This window comes from Homo sapiens, chromosome 18 (genome assembly GCF_000001405.40).
Source record: "Homo sapiens chromosome 18, GRCh38.p14 Primary Assembly".
In the NCBI taxonomy this organism is placed as follows: Eukaryota; Metazoa; Chordata; class Mammalia; order Primates; family Hominidae; genus Homo; species Homo sapiens.
The window spans coordinates 68,721,853-68,743,514 of NC_000018.10; the positions used below are offsets into that span (position 1 = coordinate 68,721,853).

The 21,662-nt window shown below is 39.7% G+C and overlaps 1 protein-coding gene across 4 annotated transcripts in view, besides 1 other annotated feature; it reads left to right on the plus strand.

Moving 5' to 3' along the window:
• The window catches only part of CCDC102B (coiled-coil domain containing 102B), a 342,906-nt gene that overhangs the window by 6,637 nt on the left and 314,607 nt on the right, over positions 1-21,662 (plus strand). For 3 of the 4 annotated variants that reach the window (XM_047437804.1, XM_017025973.2, NM_001093729.2), the window contains exon 3: positions 12,882-12,914. The exons of the other annotated variant lie outside the window; for it this stretch is intronic. The gene's annotated coding sequence lies outside the window, so the exon portion shown is untranslated. The remainder of the gene's footprint in view (positions 1-12,881; positions 12,915-21,662) is intronic. 4 annotated transcript variants of the gene reach the window in all.
• Positions 1,146-1,245: an enhancer, noted in NCBI's record as "active region_13474". NCBI's record gives its function as "activates an Ori minimal core promoter by ATAC-STARR-seq in GM12878 lymphoblastoid cells {active_cell/tissue: GM12878}" and the evidence as "EXISTENCE:reporter gene assay evidence [ECO:0000049][PMID:35858748]".

Below are 21,662 nucleotides of genomic sequence, written 5' to 3' on the forward strand. Positions count from 1 at the left end.
TAAGTTCTGAAGTTGCGTTTCATCCTCTCTGGCTGTCAAAAGAAACCTCAACCATAGGAACTTGGACACTATAACTTTTGGTGAGCCAGCTAAGCCTGAGGTTATAACCTGCTACAACTAAGAAGATAATTCAAGTGGGGCAAGTACATGATACAAGGGAGGAAACAACCGAAGTAAGGGATTGTTCTGTGAAGTAAGAGAGTATTTTGTACAGGGTTACAAGCCTTGCCCTGATGAAGCTTTATTCAAATGGCTTCTGAGAATTTTAGATCCGTAGTATTGTCTCTGGCTTTGAACGCTGTTGAGGGAGGGGAATGTTTGCACTCATCCCGCATCCTTTTTTGGCTGCTATCTTTGCGGGGATTGTTCAAGGAGAAATCCATCCTGACTGGAATGTAGTAAAGAAAGGACAGTCATTCCCAGAGAAGGGCAATTTCCCCACTCTTCCCTTGTCGTTAAATGGTCAACTGAAGCTGCAGAAATGCTGATGATACAGACATTACTGGCCTGACTATATGACAATGAAATGACCTCCATCTGGGATGCTCCTCATCCAGCTTATGAGTGCTGCTGTTATAAAAGACACCCCACCACCATGAACACCATATGTGATTTTGCTTTGGGGACCTAAAAAGGATGTGAAAGAGACAGCTTTGGATTTTTATTCCCAACTTCCTCCTACCAGACTTCAAGATAATATTATACAAAGTGTAGGGTTTTATACAAGAAAGTAAATTTAAAAAAGAAAAGGTGAAGAATTCTTTAGATGTTTAAGAATTAGAAGCCTTTAGATGTTTAATCTAAAATGACATGAAAAAGGAACAAATGGGCAGAGTACCCGCCAGATCTTTGATGAAATTTTTCAGGAAGCGAGAGAAATACAAACTGCTTCTTCTCAAACTTCCTAAGATATGAAAATACCAAAGCAAATATACTTGGCTTGTCTAAGATTAGGGGAATTTCAGATAGAGAAAGGTTCTCATGAGCCTCCAGCACCAGCACTGAATTCCAAAATATCTGCTTTTATTTTTTTTTCTTTTTGCAACCTTTTTTTTTTTTTTTTTTTAGATTCAGGGAGTACAAGTGCAGGTTTGTTATGTGGGTTGTGTATTAGTCCTTTCTCACACAGCTGTGAAGAAATATGAGACACTGGGTAATTTATAAAAAAAGGAAGTTTGAATCACAGTTCCTCATGGCTGGGGAGGCCTCAGGAAACTTACAATCATGGTGGAAGGCACCTCTTCACAGGGTGGCAGGACAGAGAATGGGTGCCCAGCAAGGTGGAAAGCCCCTTTTAAAAATATCGGATCTTGTGGGAACTCAGTATCATGAGAAGAGCATGGAGAAAACTGCCCCCATGATTAAACTATCTTTACCTGGTCCCACCCTTGATACATGGGGATTATTACAATTCAAGATGAGATTTGGGTGGGGACACAGGACCAAACCATATCATTCTGCCCCTTGCCCCTCCCAAATCTCATGTTCTCACCTTTCAAAACACAATCATGCCTTTCCCACAGCCCCCTACGTCAGCTCATTCCAGCATTAACCCAAAGTCCAAGTCCAAAGTCTCATCTGAGACAAGGTAAGTCCCTTCCACCTATCAGCCTGCAAAATCAAAAGCAAGGCAGTTACTTCCTACATACAATGAGGGCGCAAGGATTGGATAAATACAACCATTCCAAATGGGAGAAATTGGCCCAAAGGGGATACGGGCCCCATGCAAGTCCGAAATCCAACAGGGCAGTCATTAAACCTTAAAGTTCCAAAATGATCTCCTTTGACTCCATGTCTTACATCCAGGGCACACTGATGCAAGATGTGGAGCAGCTTGGACAGCTCCACTCCTGTGGCTTTGCAGGGTACATACAGCCCCACTCCTGGCTGCTTTCACAGGCTGGTGTTGAAAGTCTGTGGCTTTTCCAGCTGCGTGGTACATGCTGTCAGTGGTTCTACCATTCTGGGGTGTGGAGGATGGAGGCCCTCTTCTCACAGCTCCACTAGTCAGTGCCCCAGTGGGGATGCTGTGGTGGGGGCTGTGATGAAACATTTCCCTTCTGCCCTCCCCTAGTAGAGGTTCTCCATGAGGACTATGCCTCTGTAACAAACTTCTGCCTGGACATCCAGGCATTTCCATATATTCTCTGAAATCTAGATGCAGGTTCCCAAACCTCAGTTATTGACTTCTGTGCACCCACAGGCTTAACACCATGTGGAAGCTGTCAAGGCTTGGGGCTTGCATCGTCAGAAGCAATTTCCCAAGCTATGCCTTGGCCCCTTTTAGCCATGGCTGGAGTTGAAGCAGCTGAAACAGGCACCAGGTCCTGAGGCTACATAGAGCTGGCGGGCCCTAAGCTTGGCCCACAAAACCAGTTTTTCCTCCTAGGCCTCTGGGCCTCTGATAGAAGGGGCTGTGTGAAGGTTTCTGACATGCCCCGAAGACATTTTCCCCTTTGTTTTGGTGATTAACATTTGGCTTCTCACTACTTATGCAAATTTCTGCAGCTTGTACTTCTCCCCAGAAAATGGGGTTTTCTTTTCTATCCTATCGTCAGGCTGCACATTTTCCAAAATTTTATGCTCTGCTTCCTCTTGATTGCTTTGCTCCTTAGAAATTTCTTCCACCAGATACCCTAAATTGTCTCTTTCAAGTTCAAAGTTCCACAGATCTTTAGCGCAGGGGCAAAATGCTGCCAGTCTCTTTGCTAAAACATAGCAAGAATTACCTTTATTCCAGTTCCCAACAAGTTCCTCTTCTCCATCTGAGACCACCTCAGCCTGTATTTCATTTTCCGTATCACTATCAGCATTTTGGTCAAAGCCATTCAACAAATTTCTAGAAAGTTCCAAACTTTCCCACATCTTCCTGTCTTCTAAACCCTTCAAGTCTCTAGGAAGTTCCAAACTTTCCCACATTTTCCTGTCTTCTTTTGTGTCCTCCAAATTGTTCCAACCTCTGCCTGTTACCCAGTTCCAATGTCGCTTCCACATTTTCAGGTATCCTTATAGCAGCACTCCACTCTATTGGTACCAGTTTACTGTATTAGACTGTTCTCTTGCTGCGATGAGGAAATACCTGAGACTGGGTAATTTATAAAGAAAAGAGGTTTAATTGACTCACAATTCTGCATAGCTGGGAAGACCGCAGGAAACTTACAATCATGGCGGAAGGCACCTCTTCACAGGGCAGCAGGAGAGAGAAGCGGTGCCGAGTGAAGAGGGAAGCCCCTTATACAACCATCAGATCTCATGAGAACTCACTATCATGAGAACAGCATCAGAGAAATTGCTTTCATGATTCAGTTATCTCCATCTGGTCCTGCCCTTGACATATGGGGATTATAATTCAGTGTGAAATTTGGATGAGGACACAGATAACCATATCAGGTAGATTCTGTGTCACTGCAAAATACCTGCTTTTAATAGTAAGGCACTATATTAATTTTCTATTGCTGCAGTTTAAAGCAACACGAATTTATTATGTCCCAGTTCAGTAGATTAGAAATCCAGTACATTCAGCTAGTCTTTCTACTTCAGGTCACAAAAATCTACAATCAAGGCGTCAGAAGGCTCTGCTCCTTTTTGGAGTCTCTAGGAAAGGACCCACTTCCAGGCTTCTAACGTTGCTGTTGGAATTTACTTGTATGTGGTGGTAGGACTGAGGGCTCTGTTTCCTTGACAACTTCTGTCTGGGAATTATTCTCCACCTACATTTCCTGACTCATGGCCCACTTCAAAGCCAGTGACAGTGGGGCAAGTCTTTCTCCTGCTTCAAATCTCTTCAACTTTCCTTTCTGCTGCAACTCTCCCTCTTCTGCTTTTGAGGGCCTGTGTGGTTATTTTGGGTCTCCCTGAATAATCCAAGATTCTCTCCATATCTTAAAGTCACCTGGTTAATTTTATCCGCAAAATCCCTTCAGAGCAGTAACTGGATTAGTTTTTGATTGACTGAGCAGACTATGGGAACTTGGAATGGACACCTTTAGAATTCTGCCTACCACAGGCAATAATGGATGAAGAAGGGTGATGTGAAGGACTGGGCCTCTTGACCAAATTCCTGTGGGGGAACCAAGGCCTTGTACAGATGTGTGGGTGAAATGGCCTAGAGGTGGAGAAGCAGCCCTTTTATGTCAGTTAGGTACAGGAACGTTGCCTCGGTCTGCTAATGAGTCCATTCAGGGTGATAGAATTAATTTAGGGGAATGGGGAGATGCTTCTGGAAGAAGGATAAACATTAAAATCTCATTAAAAGTTGAAATACATGATTTTCAAAAGTATACCATGGGGATATCTCCCTTACCTGAAGGTATAATTGGTATGGATAGAATAATTGGCTGCAAATTCTTCCTCCGACTGAGTGAAATTTTTTACATATGAAATAACTTGTAGGTCTGCTCTTCATTCAGTACTAATTGGATATGAAAAATGGGAACTGTTAGAGTTACCTAAGCCTATTCAAATAATAAATTTGAAATGCTAACTAACATATGCCTACAGCAACAAAAAATTACCGCCTTAATTAAGGAAATGTTACCTGCAGGCGTGTTTGTGTCTACACACTCTGTATAGTGCCCTGATGTTGCCAGTGAGAGAGGCTGATGGACGATGGAGACTATCAGTAGTTACTGGAAACTCCATTAAACAATAACTTTAATAGCTTCAGAAGTCCCTGATATAATCCACACTATTCAACTGCTAAATAGACTATTAAACAAGCTAAAGGTGACTGGTTTTCTGTAATTGACCTGGCTAATTTTTTTGCAATATTAGATGTCAGGAAGAGTCAACAACAATGTGCATTCCTGTAGAATGGTTTTCAACATACATTTGCCTCAAGGATTCTTGAATTCCTCCCTGCATATTGTCACAATCTGGTGAGGCAGATCTAGATGCAATACAGTGTCCTAATGCTCTATCCTGATGATTCTATGATTATCTCTGAAACTGAGAGTCAAGCTAAAAGCAGCTTTACCATGATCATGAATCTGATTGGGGATCTGATTGCAGATGGTTCATGAACCCTAAACAAATCTAGGACCCTGTAAAGACTGTAAAATTTGGGAAGAGTCCATGGATTGGAGTACCAAATGACACACAAAAGACTACAAGGAAGAAAAGGTTCTTGCTCCTCTCCCCTCAGACTAAATGAGAGAACTAATGCCAAATAGACCTATTTGGGTTTTGGAAAAATCGTTATCATCTACTTTGGGATACAATTGGCTCCATCCCATTAAATCACCTGGAAAAAGTCCATTTGAAGGGAAGCTTGAACAAAACAACAAGCCTTGGAACTGCAGAGCCTGTAGTTGAAGCTGTCCTGTTTGGACCATATTGTGCTAATGCTGAGATAATATTCAGAATGTCAGTCACCTGCATTCATACTGACTCCAGTCTCTGGCTAAAGCCCATAACCATGGTCAATAGTGACTTCTGTGTTTTTGGAATAGAAAATTACCTAGTACCATTCTCTGGTATATTTCTTTTAAAGACAGTTACTAGATAGTCACTGGGCATTTATTAATACAGCCCCAATAATTGGAGGACATAAAATTATATGAACTCCTGAACTACCTCTTATGTCATGAGTAATGTCAATAAAGCATCCCAACATGCAGGCAAATGTTCATAGAAATTCCGCCATAACGTGGAAGTAACTTCACAGAAGCAGTCTGCTATGATATGCAGTGGGACTCAATGTATTCATGAGCAAGTGGCCTTTTTCCATTAGGACTTTCTGAAAAGCCATCTGAAGACTTGGCTGCTACTGCTACTGGCAGGCCTAACCTTTCTACCAGTTGCCTCAAGGATACATGGCAATTGGCCTGGTTTACAGGTGACAATTCCAGAATGGAGTGCCATGGCTCAGTATGGAAAGCAGCTGTCTTGTGTCCAGCAGCTAGTAAATTCTTCATGGGAGAATAGACCAGATTGGCAGCCTACTGGGCAGAATTACAGGCTCTGTTCCTGGCAGTAATAGAATTGACACAAATAAAATCCCAATGATTTGGGTGCATATTGACTCTTGGACTGTTTTTAATGGACTTTCAATTTGGTCTAGCAAGTGGACTGTAGATAATTGGACAATAAAGATACCCCTGTCTCAGATATTGCTCTTTCTATAATTCTGAGTGCAAATCAAAGTAAATCATACTGTTGTTCATCAAAGAACTTCTAGTTTCTCAAGGTGATTGGAATCAACAAGTTGATGCTTTAGTTCAATCTCTTGAAGTGGCAATATGGGTCTATGAAATGAGTGGACATTCTGGAGGTCAAGCCATGCAATGATGGGCTGACTGGCAATGTATACTACTGGACTCTGCTGAAGCTCAAATTTCTTATAAAAATAGATTATTCTGCTTGCCAGCAGGAGAGGCAACATTTGAAGTCATTTCTGAGAAGTAATCCCAGGGAAGAAAGTCTAACATATAACAGGGAAGTAGATTATATTGCCTCATTTCCTGTTCATTCAAGGGTATTTGAATAGAATATACAAGCATAATAGATATTCTTGATTTGGCTTTGCATTTCGATATCTGAATTCATGGCTGCTAATACTACCCAAAGATTGAACAACAGAAACAAAATTATGGCATGAGTTTTGTCCTCCTAGTTAAATTCCTCATGTCAAGGTGAAGCTTTCAGACTGTGCACCAAGATTATGTTGCAACTGTGCTCTTGCATTATCTCCTCAGCTTTAGGCACAGCTGGCTGTGACCTGAAGCAGGCAGAATGCTGTAGTCTATTGCTGCTTGCCTTAAGCAGCCTCATGATTTACATCAATGTGCCCTAAAAAATTATAACTTTTTCTGGGTGTTATCCTGCTCGAGATGTTGAGAAACACCAGGATACACAATAAGGATCAATAATATTCATCAAACATTGTTAAGAGTAAGACAAAAAAAATAGAAGAATTTCCTTTAATATCTGGAATTGGATGAGAAGTTCAATATTACCACACCTATTAAATATTGTACTGAAAATCCTAGCTTGTGTAGTAAAAGAAAAAAGAGAAAGGGGTAGTGTAAGGATGGGAAAGGAAAGCAAAATTGTTATTAATCATGGATAAGGCACCATATATTGATTTTTTTTTAAAAAAGTTCATGTATTCTGCGGGAGTAAATTTAAAAAAAAAGTTCATGCAAATTATAAGCATTAGTAAAGGTTTACCAAAGTAGCTAGGTTTATGGTCATTATGCAATAATACATTGTGTTACTTTAAAATAGCAATCAAGAGAAAACATGCATTTAAAAAATCATTAATGTTAGTAATAAAATGCTGCATTATAATTAATCTAAAGATGTGGCAGCTATATGAAGAAAATTATGACACTTTTTAAAGAAATTAAACAAGATGCCAATAAATGGAGAGATAAAGCACTGCAGTGGATAGATAACATCACAAGATACCCGTTATCCCCAAGATTATCTATCGATTCAATGAAATTTCAATGACAATTTTAAGAAGTCTTTTTCAGGGACCTTGATATGTTGATAAAAATTTATAGAGAAGAGCAAAAGTCCAAGTATATCCAAGAAACTAAGATGGAAGAGCTTATTCTGCTAGATATCAAGATTTTACTGAGGGCAATGTAGTGTTGACACAGGGATAGACCAACTGACCAGTGGAATACAATAGCTCAGAAACGAATTCAGGCATTAATGGAAACTTGACGCATGACTTGATATATCACGTTGGAGAAAACTGGAGAAAAGCTTATAATGTACTCAGACAATTTTAATCCCCATAAAGACAAAACAATTAATTTGGGTCCAAACCCTACACAATTGACAAAAAGCAGTTCCAGCAAGAAAAAAGACAAATGAGCAAGCAAAACATGAAAGTCTTGATAAGAATATATAGAACATCTTTGATACTTAGTGGTAGAAGAGGATTTCCTGAATACAAATGTTGCAAGTCAAAGGGAAAAGATTGGTTTATTAATTGAAAGACACCATGAAGAAAGTGAAGTGAAAAGACAAGCAACAGAATTGGAATTGTTATGTGCAACTAAGTAACTACTATAAAAAGTTAATAAAACATAAGAAAAATACAAAGCACCTAACAGTGGGCAAAACATATTGACAGACATTTTATAGAAGAGGAAATGTAAACATCAAATAATATTCAAAGATGCTCTACTTCATTAAAATGTAATAAATTCAAAATAAGACCTCATTGACGTACCATTGACTTTCATTTTGTGTGTGGTTGTAGAACAATGGGAATCCTTAATGCACTGTTCATGTGAGTAGAATTTATATTTATAAATACAGTAAACTTAAGTTTAACTTAGTTGTTTTAATACTAAATATAAAATGTGATATTTTATCTAAATGAATTCCATTATTACGTACTTCAGATTAGATTTCAGATCATCATTACAATAGGTCAGATTCTCTTATCCATTAAAAATATAAAAATACAAAAAATTTAGTGCCGTGTTTTCTTTCTCTTAAAAAATTCTATATTTACTTCTAAGTATCCCTAGGGTTCAAAGGTACTAACCCAATTATGAAAGTCAATTAATATTACATTTAATTAGGTTATTCATTTTTATAGACTTAGTCCAAGAGGATCACTTAGATACTTTTCCAGGACTCCGAAGAAATATTTTGGACCTTATTTGTAGTTATTATGCCATTTTTTCATAATTTCAACAGTGTGACCCACTCATGTAATACTTCTGTCTGCTGATAGATAGATGCAGCTTACTCAAGATAAGCAATTGACTAGAACACTTATGATCTGTTATCATCTTTTCCCTGAATTTTAAAAATGTTAAACATTAATGTAATCTCACACTCGTTCATATACTTAAAGTAGGCAAATCCTACTGATTTAAAAAGTAATAGTAGATTGGTTATGGATGTCTCATATATCTTCATCTGACTGAATGTCACACTTAAGAAGTCAATCCCTTGAGTCAGAAAATGTCTTCTACATGATGTATTTAATACTGAACTGTATTCCGCATCCTGTATCAATATAAGAAAGGTATCAACAGTATCAAAAGGACTGAGTAATAAGATTTCAGCAGAAATATTCTGATATCTTGATCTTCTTTGGCACATTTAAATTAATATTTATTTGGGCTGGTCATTATGGATTTAAGATGTTTATTTTTTAAATTTTATTTATTTATTTTTCTTGAGACGGAGTTTCACTCTGTTGCCAGGCTGGAGTGCAATGGCGCGATCTTGGCTCGCTCCAACTTCTGCCTCCCGGGATCAAGCGATTCTTCTGTCTCAGCTTCCCAAGTAGCTAGGACTACAGACATGCGCCACCACCCCGGCTAATTTTTGTATTTTTAGTAGAGACAGGGTTTCACCATGTTGGCCAGGCTGGTCTTGAACTCCTGACCTCATGATCTGCCCGCCTCGGCCTCCCAAAGTGCTGGGATTACAGAGGTGAGCCACCACATAGATTTAATGTATTTGAGTTAACCATAAGTATTTTTCTATTTTCGATGCTGAGATGATCACAAACCCCTATAATCTAGTTCCTGTGTCCTTTTGATCTGATTCCATTAACCCTTGAATGAAACTTTGGCTTATATGAAAACTTGCACACTCCCTTATCCTTTCCTTCCCCCGACTTGGAATCCGTGATCCTTCCAAAATACCCTGGCTTCTTTTCATGGAAAATTGATTTTTGAGGAACTATAATCTGGACTCTACATTTGCATATTAGGTTGGTCCCATCTGAGGTTCCATTGCCTCAAGGTCATTTTAGTGGCCAGAGGGATAAACAATTTTATATATGTATGTATACATATATAATATAATATAAACAATTTTGTATATGTATGTATACATATATGATATAAACAATTTTGTCTATGTGTGTATATAATATAATATATGTTATATGATCTCCTATACAATAATGCTCATTCAGTTATATATCAGTTGTCAAATTCATTTGGAGCAAAACTCTTCAGACAGACAATAGTCTTGAGATTTTGAAATCTCTGAACACCATTTCTACTTCAGTAAAAGTACAGAAAATTGTACGAATTAGTGCAAGCAAAGCTCTTTTTGGAGGAAATAAATCTTTATTTATTTTTATAAAACTGAACACATATCAAAGGAGAATGGCTTACAGTTATTGAGATTTAAGTTATAGCATCTGCTAAATACTGACTATTTTTCTCACATAAAAGTCCTTTCTCAGTCCTTTGGCTTTAGTACTCTACTCTGAGGAACTTTATTCATGTTGATATATTTTGAGTTACTCAAACATTAAAGTTCAGAAAATGGAGAAGTTAATTTCAGTAAAATACACTGCTTCAGGGGGGAATCTTCAATCTCTTTCCTGTGGGCCAGTTTTTATGGAAGCACAGGGCTTTTCTTCTATCGCCCTGTGTATTTTAAATTATTTCTAGTATTTCTATGGTGGATACCATAAACTGTTTGGTTAATAATAACCATAGCTTGAAGTCTTATTCCTTGAAATGTGTATCTGGCATTTCTTGAAGGCCTTCTTTTTTTTTCTCTCTCTCTTTTTTGGGATGGAGTGTTGCTCTGTCACCCAGGCTGGAGTGCAGTGGCGTGATCTCAGCTCATTGCAACCTCCGCCTCCCAAGTTCAAGCAATTCTCTGCCTCAGCCTCCCGAGTAGCTGGGATTACAGGCACCCACCATCATGCTCAGCTAATTTTTTTTTATTTTTAGTAGAGACGGGGTTTCACCATGTTGGCCAGGCTGGTCTTGAACTCCTGACCTCAGGCGATCTGCCTGCCTCAGCCTCCCAAAGTACTGGGATTACAGGCATGACCCACAGCGCCCGGCCTACTTGAAGGCTTTCTACAGAAATGTCTCATAGTGATCTTTCTTTTGTAACCCTCACCTGCCTGCAGACAACATGAATTCATCTATTTAGAGTTAAGGTTTTCCAGTTTTCTCTTAAAATTTTTAGGATACCATAGTTCCCAGATCTATGTATTAAAAAACTATGATTTTGAGTCATCCTTGCTATGCCAGTTACAAGTTTTACAGACCAGGGACCATCATGGCTAAACATCCATCGCACAAGTGTGGAGCTCCCTTCCAGATTCCTGGGCTGCGGACTTCCATAGACTGATTTAGCCTAGGGACAAAATAAAGACATCCAATGTATAAGGAGAACTATATGAAAAAGAAAGATAGAAAAGTTGGTGGGGAAGGTTATGCTAAGGCTAGAGCGACTCAGAGAAAAAGTAGACTCAGTTAATGATCTTTATGTAAATTCGCAAGTCTTTCTGAACTAAAACAGCTCAGAAATGGAGCCAAAGCCAACCACATCAGCCCCAAGCAGTGAAGGGGATTTAATGAGGTGGGTCTGAAAGAATAGTACCAAGGACTGATGCCTTTCACACACACTCTCTTTGTCGTGGAGAATAAGACTGCTGATTCAGAATTAAAAACTACTGTTGTTTACTAACAGCCAATTAAAACATTAAAGAACAGGGGAGAAATGTCATCGCATCTTGGTTCCTTAATCTGTCAAAATTACAAATACTCTTGCTTAAGTCTCTTTGCAAATTACCTTGTGGTTGAGGAAGGAGCAAACAGGGATGAGAAGATATTTTAATACTCAACAACGGAGAGGAAAGGTAACCTTAGAGTCACAAGTTAGACAACTTTATATATATATATATATATATATATATATTTTTTTAACTTAAGCATGCTTTAAGAAGTTAGACAACTTTAGAGATTTCTTTGAAAAGAACACTGAAAATATACATTTCATAGTGTTTTATTGCAATAAACCCTTATATCAATCAACCTCACGTGTTACGATTTGCTAATCTCTATAGATAATTAACTTTAGATTTAGGAAATAAACTCACAGTAGCTTACTTAAATGGAGAATTTACCTAAGAGGACTTCCAAATTCCTTTATAACTTCAACGATTAAAAATTTTTTACACTTTATTGCATGTTTGCTCTTTCCACTTTGTGATGCCTCATAAAAGCTAAGATTATTTTTATCAACCTGTAAAGACCTTTAGGTTCCTTTACTGATAAAAATGGTGACATCTGCTGGAACTATGTAGTTCAGCATCAAAGAGTAAGGTCCGAACAACTGCCTCGACTCACATGTTGGCTGCGTTTCTGCGTTTCCAGGAGAGGTCACAGATACACTTGCAAATGGGGAAACAACAGTCTACACGTTATTTAGAATGAAGATTTATCATGGACAAAGCCAAGCTCTTTAAGACAAGATTTCAAGAGCTGAAAGCTTCTAGAATAATATCTTTGCAAAGAAACCCACACTACTAAGAAGCTTAAAAAGTCAGAAAGCAGTTAGTAATGGTTGCTATAGAAGCAACTGTAAACCTGTCCTCCGGGAGGAACAGAAGAGAATAGTTAGCTTCCCTCAGGGAAGCAGGTTCTAGGGCTCATTAAGAGGCACAGGTGACAGCAGATACCTAGCTCTGAAAAGACAAATAGTTAAGAAGTGCCTGTCTGTAAGTTTTTTTTATTACCAGAGGCTGCAGCGTTAGGGGTGTAGAGATTAGCCAGAAAAGCAGGGTGCAAACATATAAATTATTGTAAAATCCAGACTGTATTTTGTCATCAGCATTGCAGAATGTTTTGAATGACACAGTATGACAACAACAAGGGATTATAGTCATCATCTGGCTTACGGAGAAATTTTATGCGTCGTGTGTATTTAAACCACAAATACCAAAGATTTTATGTGCAGTGACTCAAATGTCACAATTTTAACTCCGTTTCAGATTTGAAGCAATGCCTGCTAATTCAGCATTCTGAAAATGAGTATCCTTGTTTATTTTTTTCATATTTTTATAAAAGTTGATATTTTTATTTTTTCTCAGGCTAGAAATACTTGATAATTTTTATTACTGTTCTCTAAATCTTATTTTCCAGAACTTGGCAGGATGAAGACAAAGTGTGTGAAAGGTATGAGTTGTTCTTTTAAATTCTCTTTTACCAACCTGCACATATTTTCTAGGAATTGAGAACTGAGTTTTTGTGGATAGTCTTTTTTAAAAAAATTATTTAGCAATTGAATTTTCAGACCACAAAATACTTTAGGGTTTCATTTGATCCACAATACCGTATCTCTTGCAGCAACTCATTTTAGTAGTATTTCCTTCATGAAAGTTTATACAGGACTTGTTTAGGGAGAAGAATTTCTGAAACTATATATTGCTGAAATACCTTTTTATTATAGCAACATTTTATTATTTATTTGTTTATTTAGAGATGGAGTCTTGCTCTGTCACCTAGGCTGGAGTGCAGTGGTGCAGTCTCGGCTCACTGCAACCTCTGCCTCCCGGGTTCAAGTGATTCTCCTGCCTCAGCCTCCTGAGTAACTGAGACTACAGGCGTGCGCCACCACACCCGGCTAATTTTTGTATTTTTTTTTTTTAGGAGAGACAGGGTTTCACCATGTTGGCCAGGATGGTCTCAAACTCCTGACCTCAGGCGATCTGCCTGCCTCGGCCTCCCAAACTGCTGGAATTACAGGGGTGAGGCAGCGCGCCAGGGCTATAGCAACATTTTAAAAGGACATTTGCTTGGGTATATAATTTTATATCCAACATTCTTTTCCTTAAATATTTAAAAATATCCCACTCCTTCCTTTGTTGCATCCATTTTTGTTGCTACATCTGATATTCTGATCCTTGCTTCTTTGCAGGTGATCTCTGACTCACTGTAAGCTTTGTAAATTTCTCTATGCCTTGCATGTTCTAAAATTTCTCTCTAGCATTTCCAGGCATAGTTTTTCTTTGCATATCCTGTTTGGCCCAAAGGCAAATCTGGCAATGAAAACCCAACTCCTCACACACCCGTGACTCTGCTGAACTGCTTGCACTTCTTACCAGGTGTCCTCATCACACTGCTTTGCCCATATCCAGGACTCTTTAACCAGAGGTGCATTTTTTTGATAAGTGATATGTGAGATCCAGTATAAACTAACCAATTAAAAACACCTCATGTTGTAAGATCTGTGTGCTCTGTTGTTCTAACTGAATGTTTTTATCTACAAAGCATGTCTTTTGCCAATTTCTCTTCTAACGGGGTTAATTCCATCCTTAGAACCTGGCATTAGAGGGACATCATGTGGTAGTATAAGGTTATGCAGGCAGGCTTGTCAGCAGCATTCTTTGTGAATCACTTTTCTCTTGAGAGATCAACTCTTCATTCACAGAATGCACTTTTGCTAACAATTATCATATGCCAAATATCATATCCTTTATACAAAAACAATACTTTGTCACTGTATAATGGATTAAATTATTTAGGTGGAGAGGAATTTTTAGGATTTTTTTTAAAGTTTTTGAAATAAATATAGGGAATAACAATTCTAAAGGTTGTTTTAGGATATACACTAATCAAGAGTATAAAACTACCCAGTGGATGTCACTTTTCAGAATGCCTTAAAGTCATTAACATTTGAATCCTAACCAAATTTTAAAATAAGTGTGAATGTTGCTTGCTCGTCAGAAACAGTGATGATAATCTTAAAGTCCAGGAATGGCATCTGTGAAACACAAACATCTTTCTCCAACTTGATGGTGAATTAACGCTGAGTATGAGCTAACGTAAGAGCTTTATTATTTAAATTGTGTATTTTAATAGTATTCTGATCAAAACCATTATTAATGTTGTTGCCTTGCACCGCGCACATCTTTATATCATTGTGTTCTAATATGAGATAAGCATATGGTTCTTATATAATTTTTTAATGTAATAGTGTTAGTTATGTTTGTGCTGTGTTTTCTTTACATGTTTTTATTTTGAAGATTTACATCAGATCCAGTTATTTATAGGCCCTTTTACATGGAGGCAGCAAGAGGAATGAGGAAGAAGCAAACTCAGAAACCTGTGATAAACCCATCAGATCTCATGAGACTTATTCCCTATCACTAGAATAGCACGGGAAAGACCGACCCCCATGATTCAATTACCTCCCCATGGGTCCCTCCCACAACAAGTGGGAATTCTGAGAGATACAATTCAGTTTGAGATTTGGGTGGGGACACAGCCAAACCATATCAATATCTTATGTTCTTTTTTATACTAAATCTTTGAAATCTAGTGTGCAAACAATCGTATCTCACTTCAGGTGCTCGACAGGTGTGTGTGGCGAGTGACGATGATATCCAGTGGCACACACCTCAACTGCACAAGAGTTGGTTAAGTCTTGAGCCAAAGGGGTCAATGTTTGTACCCCCAATTCAGTTATTGGCTATACTCTGCCCTCAGAGGGTTGGGAGGAGTAGTCTCAAAGGCAAAGTGGTTCCTGTTTGTCTGAGGGTGATTTTTCTTGAGAAGGTGTTCTCTTTGAGTTTTACCAGCAGGGGGTGGGCATGGGGGTAACATGTCTGGGCACCCGAAAACAAAGTATTCTTGACAGTCCCTGGGGACGCTCATGTACACTTGTTTCTCACATTAAGTTCCTTCAGTGCACACAGGGCTTCTCCAGGATTACATTTTTTTTCTGAGAAAACTATGAGGAAGGCCAGTGGGACCAATGATAGCTCCCACTGCAGGCTTGGTCCCAACACTCTCTCATACCCAAGATCTCCCTTCTCCACCAGCGTTATAGATTCTCCTCCCCATTGACTGGCGCTTGTGGTGGTGGTGGTGGTGGTGGTAGTGGCAGTGGTGTGTGTATGTGTGTGTGTCTGTGTGTGTGTGAAGGGAGGGTTGTGTGTGTGTGTATGTGAAGGGAGGGTTTTCTCAAACTCTCATTGCTGCAGGATCTGACTCCCTGTTTATTTTGCCCTTATTAATGGCTATGATTGGCTGTAGAGTTAAATCCACAATGCTAGTAACAAAAGACATCCTGGTAGATCACCAGAGTGCAAGATATCTTCTGCTCTGTCTCAATTATGTAGCAGCAGCCCTGTTTCTTCATGATTACAGTTAATTGCTCCTGCTAATAGAGCAACTTCTTTCTGAGCTAGTTACTTCACTAGCACAAAGAACATAAACTGAGCAGTAATAACTTTAAGTTTAGTGCAATCCACATTGTTCCTCTTGGTGGAAGTGATTTCTTCTGGGAATCAGGAATGCTGCACCCACAGAGACTATATTTGTGCACATTGGAAGTACAAATCCCTTGAATGTGGATGGCAGTGAATGGCTACTTCCCCCTTTCTCTACCTAGACACATGTATTTTACATTTTGAGGACCATATAATGACCACTCATTTAATGTGTGTATTGCATAATAAAAGATAGTACACCATCCCCTTGCAGGGTGTCACATTGAAGCTCATGACTCCCTGTATCTACAAAGCCTACTTTATCACAGGTCATGGTTCTTGCATGCTGTGGGAGGAGGTAGGACCGGGGTATTCCTTGGTCGTATGTCCACTGCTTCACCTCCATTGCTATAAAGTGGGTATCTGAGAATGAGTTGATCGTATGCAGGATCCTATGTGAGCAGAGTAGACATTCTTTGCTACAGAAATATGTAGCAAAGAATAAGAATAAGATGTCTTATCTAAAGATGTCTCTTTGGATAAGAGTGCTTGCTGAGATATTGCAGACAGGAAAGGCAGACTCTTACCTGGAATACGGGTCTATCCCATCCAAGATTACATATTACTTGGAAGAATGGAGGGGATCTGATATAATCATTTCCAAATAATGTCCAATATAGACCGTCTGAGAGGTGCTCTCAGCACTGGTCCCCGATGGTGGTGTGACAGAGCTTCAGCAGCTGCTGTAGCTAATTCACCCTTTGCCAAAAGAATCTCTTGCCGTTGGACCCATGCATCTCTGCCACGATGGCTGCTTCATCTGAGCCCATTGCATAAGCACCGGGATGACTGTGAGAATGGAGTTTGACTAACATTTATTTTTTAATTTATCTTGTCTACTTGCTTGATGAGTGTCTCTTTGGCAGTAGCTGCTTCTGTGGGCAGTAACCTGATTTAGAAGGATCTCCACACTTTGTTCCCACTCCATGCCTCCCACGCATCTCATCTGCATGCCTCTCCCCAGACCTCTCTGAATCCAATCTACCAGGCCTGCTCTTCCTAGGCCTCTGACTGCACATTCAGCACTCCCCATGATACGCCCTTATTTTAGCCATATCTGTTTTCACACAAAGTGGATGGCCAGGCACATTGCCTGAACCTCTGGCCATTGGACTGTAGATGAGCAGCCTTTTGTTTTTTTTTTTTTTAGACCAGGTCTTGCTGTCACCCAGGCTGGAGTAGTACAGTGGTGCAATTTCACATCACTGCAACCTCCACCTCCCAGGATCAAGCGATTCTTGTGCCTCAGCCTCCCAAATAGGTGGGATTACAGGCATGTACCACCATGCCCAGCTAATTTCTTGTATTTTTAGTAGAGACGGGTTTTCGCTGTGTTGGCCAGGCTGGTCTCAAACTCCTGGTCTAAAGTGATCTGCCCAACTTGGCCTCCTAAAGTGCTGAGATTAACAGGCGTGAGCCACTGTGCCATTTAGCCAGCTACCATTTGTTTTTGATATGCACCGAAATTTCTAGCAGGCTCACTGTTTCATGAACAAAGCTTGAGCTTTTTATTCTTTTCCTTTGCTTTTACTCACCCCATCCCCTGCTGCCATGATGCCATAGGCGTGAGCTTAGGACAGATACCTGTTCACTACTGGCAGGTGACATGAGAGTCTAGGTCAACATTTTATGCAACTTACTTGTGACCTCTGAGCCTGCCCATGTTTGATACTGGATGTGATTAGTCCATTGTACTACAGATTATGGCAGGGTCCACCTATAACTTGGTGTTTCTGAGAGTACACAATATAGTATTTTTGTCCATGACGTCACTTGGTGACTTCATATCTCTAATTCCACTATTACCCAGTAGTAAATCAGAGACTGTTTTACAAATGGTGTATGTAGTTATTTTTTGCAGATGACATGCCTTCTTCCAAACCTAGAGATTTAGCCACAGCCTCTTGCTGGGGCTTACCAGAAGCTCCTCCTGTCATCTGTCTCTATTAAGACACATCTGGAAATATGAGATGGCCCAGGTAGTAGGATTGCTGCTACACAGCCTGGAACAGCTGCAGAGCTTCCTTGTTGTGTGCTGCCTTCTGAAAAAGCAACTTGTGTCCCAAGATAATTGGATTATGATATCATTACTAGTATGACATATGTTGAATTAAGTGGTATTCTAAAAATAGTTAAATAGATATTGAAACACAGTCCTGTGTTATCTCTTAAGGAAGGATTTCTCAACCTCAGTACTATGGACATTCTGGGTCAGATAATTCTTTGTTATGGAGAAGCGTCCTGTACAGTTTAGGATGTTTACCAGCACCTTGGCTTTTACCCACTAGATTCCTGCAGCACCTGCCCCAGTTGAGACAACCAAAAATGTCTCCAAATATTGCCCAATGTCCCTTAGGGGATAATCAACCCCAGTTAAGAACCACTTGTTATGTGATTCTCTAGAATTTCTCCTGTATTGATAAAATGAATGTTTGCTGTCATTTTAAAGATCTAGGAAAATTTTTCTCCAACATCAATCTTAGTTTTGAAGAGGTTACAAAATCTTTGTTTCCTCGAGTTGTAAGTAAAATAAAAATGATTATAAAACTTAAAATCCCCATTATAGTTTCCATATGAAACATTTGCAAGTCAAAGAAAGTTTTGCTTTGGTTTTACAGGATTGTTACTCCTATGCCATGATCAGATCATTCATGTGATCTCTAACATCGATGTGAGATTGACATATGATGGAATAGGGTGTTGGCAAACACTTGCTTTTAATGTGAGGAAAATCCACCAGTGCAGTGGTGAGGAGGTGAGGACCTTGGCCATTGCTGGCATTGGAGGTGGTGGAGTAGATCGCATGAGTAACCCAGTGCTGCCTCGGACGGGACGGGTACATCTGTCTACAACTGCCTCAAGCCTTTTCATCCCTCACACTAACCTAGGCCCCATTTTAGCCTGTTTCAATAATAAAGTAATATTTAAGTATATATACTATGAATATGTATATATATGTACTTATGAAATATTTAAGTATATATAAATTACTAAAGTAACACTGAATTCTATTTGCTTTAGAAGTACCTTATCTATCAGTTTGCTCAGCATGGAGAAGGGAAGAAAATTGTTATTTCTTGAATTTTCCTCTCAGACTTCAATGCCTGGCACTCATGTTGCAAATGTTGAGAAATAAAATCAAAGAGTAATTATTCTGTGGCTAGTTGGAGCAGCTCTGTTAGGGCCAGTCTAGGAGGTGCTCTTGTGGATGGTGGCAGCTTGTGTCATGCATGCACTGGACAAGTCCACATGGCATATGGCTCTGTGACTCACAGCGCAAATAGTGTTAACTTTGGCCAGTGATTGGAGCTTATGGCAGCTTTACTTGCAGATGTTTTGCAGTTGCTGTCAAGGCAAGTGTGTACTTAACAAATGGCTTCCATCCAATGGTGTCCAGATTGTTTGGGGCAGGGCAAATACAGGCAGGACAGGGGGTCAAGCCAGTGTTAGCTAACATGTATGGGCTGCACCAATGGCATGCACCTTTCCCAGACAGGCATGATTGAGCGACGGATTACATTTCCTCCTCACAAGAAAAGTTGATGCCTCTGTCACTAAACAGAGCTCAATCTCAGTGCAATTCTGGGATAGCTGAACCATGGGGATCTAAGTGGGACAGAAATGAAGAAACTGTGAATGTGCTGATGGGGATAGAGTTGTGCTACAAATAAGACTCAGGAATAGGATTGCCAATGTTGAAATATTTTCAACTTTGCAATAAGGCAAATGCCTTCCATATTTGGTTATCCTGAAGAAAAGAAAAGGTCCCTTACCCCAAATTTTGTCCAAATGTGAAGACTGGTCACACACACACACACACACACACACACACACACACACACACACACACCCCAAGACAATATAGAAAGGTTTATTGCTCATATAACAAGGCTTTCTTGCGAGAACAGGGTGGCTCCTTAGTGGGTTCAAAAATGGTTTGAGAGAACAGACAAAGTTGTTGGGCCTGGGGTTTTTACTGAGGTCAGTGATGGGGAAGGAGTGAGTGTTCCCATAGGTAGTTTGAAATTCCCACTGACACCAAAGGAGGGAGCACCTCAACATGGTTATCAACTTTCCCAGGTACAGAGTAGGAGGAAAACGGAGACGTGAGGGTTCAAACCTGTGTGTGGTCAAACATCAAAAAATGGAGGCTGACTGTGTGTTAGCTTCCTAGGGCTGCTGGAACAAGTGACTACAAACTGGTGGCTTAAAATGACAGATTATTTGTTGCCTCACAGTTTTGGAGGCTGGAAATCTGATATCAAGATGTCTCCCGGGATGATTCCTCCTGGAGGCTCTGAGGCAGAATTTGTTTCAGGCTTCTCTTTTAGCTTCTGGTGATGGCTGGCAGTTCTTAGATTTTCTTGGCTCATAGAAGCATCACTGTGATCTCTTGCTTCTGCCTCATCATGGTCTCCTTGTGTATCTGTCTTTGTGTCTCTTTTCCTCTTCCTATAAGAGCACCAGTCATATTTGATTAAAGGCCCACCCTACTCCATTGTGACCTCAACTAAATTACATCTTAATTACTTCCAGATCCCATTTCCAAATAAAGTCACATTGACACATACCATGGGTTAGGATGTCAGCATATATTTTGGGGATACACAATTCAAACCACAACTGACTATTAAATGTTACATGCCAGTCTTTGACAGAAGTGATTAATGTTTGTATATAAGGCAAACATAATGGCAGACATAACTTCTTGATGGTTAATTTATCCGTACTGTAAATTTAATTGGTCATGGGCCACTGGCATAGATTGGGTGGGTGTCTGGTAGGGCTGAAAGAAATAATTTTCTCCATTTATCCTTCTTCCCTCAGTGCCATTGAGTTTCTGCTATGATTTTTGCCATTACTAACCACTGGGTAATAAGAATAAAATTTTGCTTCATTAACTTCATTAGAGGCTGCATAGTGCTTTGTTTTCTAAATGTGCTGGGTATAGAGACAGCACAGTAATCATCTTTGAACTCTTTAAAAGAGGCACTGTAATTAAGGTAATTTATGGCTGGTTTGTAACAGCTCTAGCTGTATTTCTGGGGATGCCTGGATGTCTGGCTTTAACTTTTGGCCAAGATAATGGTAATGGAATTTATAATGTTCTGTTTAAATTCTGACCCTTAGGGCCAAATTTTTAACTTATGAATTTCAACTGGCATAATGGGTTAGACATCCTGACCTGACTATGGGTCAGAGGTACGTTAAAAATCTTGGGTCAGGCATGGTGGCTCACACCTGTAATCCCAGCACTTTGGGAGGCTGAGGTGGGTGGATCAACTGAGGTCAGGACTTTGAGACCAGCCTGGCCAACGTGGTGAAACAACATCTCAACAAAAATAAATAAATAAATAAATAAATAAATAAATAAATAAATAAATAAATAAAAAATTAGACAGGTGTGGGGGCACATGCCTATAGTCCCAGCTACTCAGGAGACTGAGACAGGAGAATCACTTGAACCCGGGTGGTGGAGCCTGCAGTGAGCCAAGATCGTGCCACTGCACTCCAGACTGGGTGAGACAGAGCGATACTCCATCTCAAAAACCAACCAACCAACCAACCAAACCATAAAAAACTCCCTTGCATCTCTGTCTTGAGATCTCTGAAGCTTAGATTCATTACATGGTTCAATTCACAAAGCACA